This window comes from Homo sapiens, chromosome 1 (assembly GCF_000001405.40).
Source record: "Homo sapiens chromosome 1, GRCh38.p14 Primary Assembly".
NCBI classification, from domain to species: domain Eukaryota; kingdom Metazoa; phylum Chordata; class Mammalia; order Primates; family Hominidae; genus Homo; species Homo sapiens.
Window position 1 is genome coordinate 102791067 of NC_000001.11, and position 9114 is coordinate 102800180.

General features: G+C 31.8%; 1 long non-coding RNA gene across 1 annotated transcript; it reads right to left on the bottom strand.

The window, feature by feature from the left end:
• Window positions 1-1901: 1901 nt before the first annotated feature.
• LOC112268286 (uncharacterized) lies at window positions 1902-8857 on the bottom strand. The gene is made up of 3 exons (XR_002958661.2): window positions 8738-8857; window positions 3421-3478; window positions 1902-2009 (listed from the first exon to the last, which is right to left on the bottom strand). It is a non-coding gene; the product is annotated as an uncharacterized LOC112268286 (long non-coding RNA).
• Window positions 8858-9114: the final 257 nt, after the last annotated feature.

Below are 9114 nucleotides of genomic sequence, written 5' to 3' on the forward strand. Positions count from 1 at the left end.
CCTTCTTTCCAAGGTCTCTCAAAATTACATTATAGTAAACTGTAAATCATATTTAAACTCTTAAGAAATCTCAAAACAGATTTTATCTGAATCTTTGAGGTAATTTCATAAAGCTGCAGTGCCCCCTGGTTGCTATTTTATCCACCATTTCTGGTCAGCCTCTGTCTGATACCACTCTATGAAATATTCTTAAGCCTGCATATCAAAGAGGCTTCTAGAAATCAAACATGTTCCATTGAAATGAACCTATCTGGGATATAAATATTTTAAAACTTGGCAATAGTCTAACCATTGTAACATTATAGCTGGAAACTGGTAATTTATTGCATTCTTATTTTTACTTTTTGTTTTTTGTTTTTGTATTGAAGTTAGTTGGCTTTAAGTTTTGGGTTTCATCTGAAAAGTAGTGTTTCCCCATTAGTTATAATTTCCATACTGAATAATATGGATTATCATAAATTTTAGACACAATGAAAATGCTAATAATTTTCAGAATAATTCAAGATTTTTTGTTTTGTTTTGTTTTTTACTTTGAACATCTGTCTATATCCCTAGAAGACAACAAAGATAAATATCACAAGTAAGGACTGATGATATGAGAAAATTTACCACTTTTTTAAAGTTGTGCATTAACAGTTGTATTGCTAACACAAATAATAAAATAATATAACTGATTAAGTAATATTATTAATTAAACAAATAAAAAGCACACCCTTAATATGAATAAATTAATTAACCGATTTTAAAATTAATAGGGTTAACTATAAAGGTTATTGGAAAATGTGTTAATAAATCAATATTTTCCACAAAGATAGAATAAAAATATCAGATAAGTTATAACATTCAGTTTTCATATTAAACAAAGTAGTCCATTTATTAACATCTCAAATATGAAACATAGGGTAAGAATAATTTCAGTAAACCTTAAGAAAACAAAAAAATGAAGGATGCAGTCAATGTTAAAACTATTTTCCCTATTATCTCAAAAATAGATTAGTTTCAAAAACAGAATTCAATCAATGACAGACAAAAATGGACTGTGGATCACTGTGTCAGGGACACCTACTTGAAACTTGAAATGTTCCTTTAGGAAGTATGCACCTAATTAAATCAATATTAATGATATATTTTATTTTTTATTATAAATCATAACAAAAAATGTGCCAAGGTTGTGAAAACAACTCACTATTCAACACCATTTTTTAGGTCCTTAGTAACTTTAATATTAGTTTCAACAACAAATTATACAAAGAATATTTACCGCTAAAAAAGTCACCACAGTTTAATTTAAAAAAACCAGCAAACCAAAATCCTAGTTAATAGGCTATTTTCTAATTTAACAATTTATACTACTGGGGCTGGTAAATCCTTTATTGAAAAACCTAAAACTAATCAAAACTCACCTTGAAGACATTGATTAGGAATATTAATGATAACACCAAACTTATGTTATAGTTTAGCAGATACAAAGTAAAAAATTCTGAAGTGAAATTATTAAATACAAATGAAATGCTTCACTAAAAATCTACATACTGTGTATAGTTTAAAGAAGGTTAAATTAAATTTTATAAACAAATTTCACTATGTGCATTTAGAAGATTAAAAAAGAAAGCTTCCTACTTGAAGCATCAATTAATTAATATTCAAACCCTATTCCTGAATGTTGTATTTTCCTCCAGGGTTTCCTTAGGATGAAAAGGCAGTTGTTATACAAAAATGCTAACAAAGTGTTATGATAAACCTATCTGTGGGAATTCCTCAGTTGCTAGTACAAGAACAATTAGAAGAACTCATGTGAGCAGCTCTGCATCATTTCTTGGCTTCGACAAGCAGCAATGCATACAACATTTCAACAATATCCTCAGAGGGAGTAATTTCAGAAACAACTGGGAAATACTCACCAAAGATGAAAGTCTGGCAGGAAAGTATTCCAACTCAGGAACTTGCAGCTCATAATTTGAGGCATGAAACATTTTTAGGAATTGTTTAACACTATAGCATCAATAAGCCTTTAAAAAAGGGGAATGAGTAATGCCTTCATCGTGACATTTATTGTTTCCAATTAATATATTATTCTTGTTTAAATCATGTTATTTATTTTGAAATACATACATAGAATAAGAGAAGAAAAAATGTAAGTTTTTTTTTTTTTCCGTAAAAATCCAACTCAAGTCGTGAAACAAGACTGTAAAGCATAGTGGTATGGTTACAAACAAAGGACGATGGAAGTATAAAGGAAAAAATGAAGTGAAAAAGAATGCTTTTTATTAATCTGAATTATTCTGCTGATTTTTTAAACTATCAATAGATTTGCTCATAAACTCCTGCCCCAAATGTCTCTGCTCCAGAATTTGCAACTTAACATCAGGAAAATCATCATCATGATCATAAGGTGAAAATAATTTCATTTCACAGTGTGCAGTAATATATTTCATAGAAGATGAAATACAGGGTCAGCTTTATATTTTATCATGAAGAGAAAGATTCATAGACTCATAGAATTTTAGATTGAAGGTCAAAGTCAGCATTAATGAGTAAGACTGGAGGTGTTAAAATGAGCTCTGAAGTGACCAAGAATATTATGCTTGCCAATTTTTTCATCTCAGTTTTTAAAAACAATCTGATAATAAAGCCAATCTGTCAACTAATATCCCATAAACGTCAAAAGCTCAGTAGATAATACTAATTCACCTGAGCCCATCTATTTAGGCCAAGAGCATGCTCAACTCTCTTGATGCTTAATAACTCAGACCTCTTAGTCAATAACCAGTATTCTAGATAAGGAGATAGAAAAATTAAAAAAAAGTTATTATCTTTCCGTGTCATGTTTTGTGTGACTGGCTTCCTGAAATGTTCTATTTGAAATGGTATATTTGTTTTTCATTTGAAAGTTCATTTACACAAAATTGCATCCACTATTTGTAATTTTCATTTTAATGATAACCTCTTCTATATTTATGCATTTCTCTTTGTCCTCTGTACCATCTCTCTCTGATCTTTTTTGACAGTGGATTAAGGTAGCCCACATTCTTGTTAACAGCAATAAGTGCTAAAGACACCTGAGGGCAGCTTCCTCCGTAAAGAGGAAGACTGTCCTAACGCTTCAAATTGAAGTGAGAGAAAACTTAGATAATTCGTCTGCAATCCAACCAAGGTAGAACTGACTGACTCATCTTAGTGTTTGCTTAGAGTACTATATTATTATCATTTCAGTTAAGATAGCATTCTTAAAGATTCGCTGAATCCAATATCTCTAAATGGCACTCATGCCTGTAAAATGTAATTTTATCTCTGGATATTAACTTAGTTTAATTTATTTCCCATAGCTTGTGGTCAGTAAAGGAAATATGTGTATTGCAATTTAGGTTTATAAGTACTTTGAATCAAATTCAATCTCATAAAACTATTATAAGAACATACCAGTCAGATGGTGAATAGTTCACACAATTATTTTCAGTATCATCTGATATTTCAGTATCTGCATGAAATCAAATGGAATTTTAGTTTATCGTATATTCATCAGTTTTACTATTTAAACAATAAAAATTCAAACCTTTAATTAAAGAGCACAGAAGGAAAAACAACATGACTTTGGCTTAGGTTAGGGGTTCTGTTTTTGTGTTCAGAAATTCATTCTGGGGCTCCACTGTAAAATGCAAGAGCTAGGCAGTGGTCTTTTCAATCTGTGGGGCAAAAAATTAAGAGCATTTAGCAACTGTTTAGCTGATATCTGGGCAGAGGAGTGGGAAGAACTTGCTATGGAGATTATCACCTTTCCAAATACTTAATATATAGCACAACACTACAGAAAAAGGAAAATCATGACACTAAAAATACTGATGTTTTGCTTTATTTTATAGTGAGCTTTGCTGTGACTTAACACTGCCAACTCAAAGGTAGAATAATTTATCAATATACGTTAACCAGTTTTGGAAATATGTAATGTCACACATTATTATAATAGCTAATGCTAATAATTTTTAAAAGCTTGTTTTTGGAGAGATGTCATTATATTCTAGGAAGATATGAATAATTAATTTTGCCCACTTATGTTTCAAAGTTTATTTTAGAAGATTACTTGGTTACAGGTAAATATTGTTGTATATCTCATTTTACTTGTTAAATGATGGCTTTTTCAATGGTGAAGAAAATAGTCAACAGTCAATTGTGTTTCTTAGGGAAGAATAAGTTTAGGAGATGAATTATATTGCTCTACAGGTAGAAAAACAAGGTGTACTCATACAGTTAAGATGCAAAGGTGTATATAAAAAGTTTAAAGAAAATTAGGAAGGGAGATAACACTAGTTAGAAGTTATTAAGGATATTTTTGAGGAGGGTGAGAGGGACTAAATTTTACCCAAAGTTTTAAAATAATTTTTCAGAGTGCAATTTCTAAATGTGAGTTAAATGGACTAGCCTGCATTATATACAGTTCATCTGTCAATGGGCTAAAAATTCTGAAGCTATTTTATGTATATTCTAAAATTAAGAAAGTAAATAAGTACTTTTTGGATATGAGAGCCAGGATTCTCAATATTATAGAACAGAATTGCAAATGTGGAAAGGAAAAACAGGTCAGAATTAATATGATCCAGTTCGATATAAATTAGAGGGATCATATGAACTTATGGTTAGATATATAATATCCCATTCTAATAAAAGAGAAGACGATAAATGGTTGAAAGATGATCCTAGAATATTGTGGTGGCAAAAAATTAAAAAGTGCTCAAAAAGTGATGAAAACATGTCAAAAGGACAGGAAAGCCAGCTTGAAGAGGATCCCATTGCACCCACAAAATTATTTTTGTTGCTCAAATCTGGTGAATATGAGCAACAATAATAATTATAGTGACATTATAATCCATAGAATAGGATTAGTGTGTATTAATTTGTAATCAATCTACAAATAAATGGATATGGAGAATTTTTTGCAGAAAACATGATAAAAATAAAACAAAATATTATTTGGAGGCCACAAAAGCAGTAATTGTTCAGACAACAATCATCAATGGATGCCTCTATTAATGATATAATGATAAAAGAATGATAAAAGTAGAATATTTGCATAGTTTTTAAGAATCTTCCTGCAAGATGCTTATTAGTAATTTTACATTGGAGACAGAAGACAGACACCAAGTTAAGGAAGTCATCACATTTAATATTACCAGTAATGGAGCAACATAGTGCACCTTCTGACATGTTGTGGTTGAAAGAACACTGCAACATTCTGTGGCCCTCCTGGCAAATATCCAGGCAAATATCCAGGCAAATAGCCTAACCTGAATCTCATTACAAAGAAAATCAGACAACTCGGAATATGGGGAAATCTACAAAATAATTGCCCTGAACTCTTCAAAAGTGTAAGATCACAAAGAAATGTAGGAGGAATATTCTAGATTAAATGAGACTAAAGAGACAAGACAAGTAAAGCAATATGTGGTACTGGATTGGATCACAGAATAATTGGTGGCATTTTAATGAGGCTTGTAGGTTATATAATATTATTATATTTTATTATATATATTATATAATATTATTATATTATTATATATATAATACAATATTAATATTGTTAAACTTATTAATTTTAATTTATTAAAAAATATTAAAATTATTAAAATTAATAAGTCACTTAATTTTCTGAAATTTTATAATTTTGCTGAGATTATGTACTACAATGTTCTGGGATTTTTTTTAGGAAATTACACCAAAGTATGTAGTGTTAAATGTCTTTGCAACTTACTCCTGAAATTAAAAAAAATATTGATGTCCGCAGAGTTAGAGAATGAGTGATTAAACCAGTGTGGTGCCCTTAGCAAATCTAGGTGAACAGAATTTGTGCATGATTTCTGTTACTTTTATAAGTTGAAATTAGTTTCTAAAATAAATTCCAGTCTTGGAAGAGTGGACTGGATTGGGTCATATTCTCTTGGCAGGGTGAGGGAGTGGCAGGAAAGGCCTGGATTGACAGGCTCTCCAGTGCCACAGAAACGGGGAAGGAGTAATCTCTGATGGAACACACGAGGGCATTTATCAAGGAGTCAGGCAAGTGATATCTGTCCGGTCAAAGAGCAGATGTCCCCCACAGAGAGAGTTTCTTCATTTTAGTTATTCGATAAACATTTGCAAGATAAACTTGTAGACAAGATAAATAAATAAATTTATAGACCACATATATAGTTATAGTTTATTAAAAAAATAGAGTTGTAAAGAGTACTGATTTTTAGAGTTTTTATGTAAATTTAGCTTAAATTAAGATGAAGATTTTTTTGCTGTGACAAAAAACTCTGAGTTTGACATAGGGCTGTTCAAACATTTTTATTGTGATTTTTGTGTCGAGAATAAAGGTGTGGCTACTGCAGTTCTTGCTGACAAAGTTTCGGTTGAGATAGCTAATATCTTTGATGACATAAACTTAAAAGGATTAGAAGACTGAACTATCGGACAAAAAATATAAAGGCTATGATAATAGAGATAAATATAATTATTGTTTTTAGGTTCAAAATAAATATTAAATAAGTACAGAAACAAGGATACCCACAAGGTCCTGATAAAAAGAGACTGAGAGAAGGAGAAGAGGTTTGAAGAGGCTAAATATCCACACAGCTTCCTTTAAAATCCCTGCCCAAGATACAATCCATTTCTCTTTCTCTTATGTATATTCACGCCCTCCTGCATGACTGGAATAGCTCAGGAGAAGACTAATTTACAGAATGTACAGAAGAGTGATTTACAGACAAGAGAGTACTTTATTCACCTTAGCCTTTCTACCCACTTCATGGAAACGGTGTTTCAGAATAGCTCTGTTTGCAACTGAGCTCAGTAGGGGCAAACATATCTTGCAGGTCTACTTTCTCTTGACCTTTCATGGACTGATGATTTAAGAGCTTCTATCACACCGGCTATCAAAGCAGGGGTATATATATTTGGATGAACATAACAAAATAGAAAAAAGTTTATATAATTTCTTCTCTTCCCATATTATTCCTTTACCTTAGCCCAGCATCTCCAAGGCCCACGAATATTTCTGAAGCAAGCAAGGGTGAATGTGTGGCAAACATCAGAGTAAGTACCCTCCAGACATTAGTATTTAGAAATTATTGATGAGCAGATTCAGCTCTCAGCAGGAACATTGGGATGATTAGGAAACACCCCTCTCCACAACCCAATCAGATGGAGTGAGGTGTCTCTCAGAAGAGTGAAAGAGTAAGCCTATGAATGTGACCTTCAAACTAAAATCAGAAACAAATGTCTTTGTGAAACTCATCTCTAAACTCATCTTTTGGTTCTGAACTCTACTGCTTAGCATTAAAAGAGTAAATGGGTGCAGCACACCAACATGGCACATGTATACATATGTAACAAACCTGCACGTTGTGCACATGTACCCTAGAACTTAAAGTATAATAATAAAAAATAAATAAAATAAAATAGTGCCTGAATAAATCTGACAACATACTGATTAGAACTATGTATACTCATCCTAGTAACTAAAGACTCACATTTCTTAAAGTCACATAATTCTAATGAAAACAATCAGATTATGTATTTTTCTTCTAGGAGGTGTAATAGCATCTTCATGGGAGAGTCCAAACTAACATGACACTCCACAAGTTTCTTAAAATAAAAGATGAGGTAAATAAAAGATTATGTGGCTTGAAAATAAGCAATGATTGAAGAACTTTTGAGCTGAAACTGGATATTCAATAAAATTCAATGTAACTGAATTTCCATATTTCTCTGGTTGGATCTTCACATAGGCACCCAATGATGTGATGAAAATGTTATGCACACACTCACACACACACACACAGTGTTAGTATCAGATAATTCCATACAAAGGAAATCTTTGCCTTATCACACTAAAAGCAGACATCTAACCTGCTGCACTAGGCCTCTTTAAAGGCAGAAAATTCTGCTCCAGGCTACAGCTACTGGAAATAGTCCCAAGGTTCCTGCTAATAGCAGATTTTAGCAGAAAGCCTCTATTGGCATATTTTAACCATTTGGGAATTATGTTAGTATTTCTTCTTATATTTTTTCTTCAATGTCGATTTTAACAGATGAAACTTATATTAATACACATGCACACATATATGTGCATGTATCTATATATATGTGTGTGTGTTATAGGTGTGTATGTATGTGGATGCGTATATATATGTGTATGTGTATATATATGTGTGTGTGTATATATATATATATATATATATACACACACACACACACACACGCACACACACAAAGTCTCATCCTGCCAGGCAGTGCCTTTTTCCAACCTAGTGTTTATTTGATATTCAAATTAGAAGAAAAGAAGGGGAGAAGTCTCTCTAACGCCCTAGCCCATATGAACCAGAGTATGTATTTCTATTTTGTGGAAGTGGAGATCTGTTAGACCCCAAGCATTCTGGCAAACATTCGCTGATCTCCAAACCTGCAAGCATCCTGGTAAATGATCATTAGTTGTTATTTCAAACTTTTTCTCTGCTAAATCATAGGCCATATTGTTTTATATTTCCTTAGATGTTGATACAATTCATCCTCATCTTTTCTTAGTTCTCCTTGTTTCCATATTTAGTCAGAACCACAGATTCTCACAGCCTCCTTCTCCCTCTCTCACTAGTGAAATGTCAAAAGTGGGAGAATATGAGTCACTAAAAGTAAACATTTAAGAGCTTGGCAAATCAATTTTCTATTTTTTTTTGCAAAGTTATGTTTCAACTGGAGTATTACTTACAGATAATAGCACTGTGGAGCTCTTCCGTTGAAAATCAATAGTGCAACATATTTGGTGACCATCTACATTACTCCAACCAAACATCAACAGAGATGGAACATGGGGCATTGTAGGAAGATATTTTCCTAAATGAAAAAAATGGGACAGAAGATAATTAATGCCAATGCAATCATTCTGTTTTCTGCTGTAAGCTTGTCAGGTTCCTCAAAGTTTATTTCTCTAAATATTCAGATACTCTGATTCAGTTTAAAGGTACAAAGGTAATTGATACTGCAGATTGCTATTCAATAAGTAAGTTGAAAATCTATCACCTGACCACTTAAAGGCATTAACATTTTCTAAAAATTTAAGAAATAAATGCCTAATTTTGACCAAAG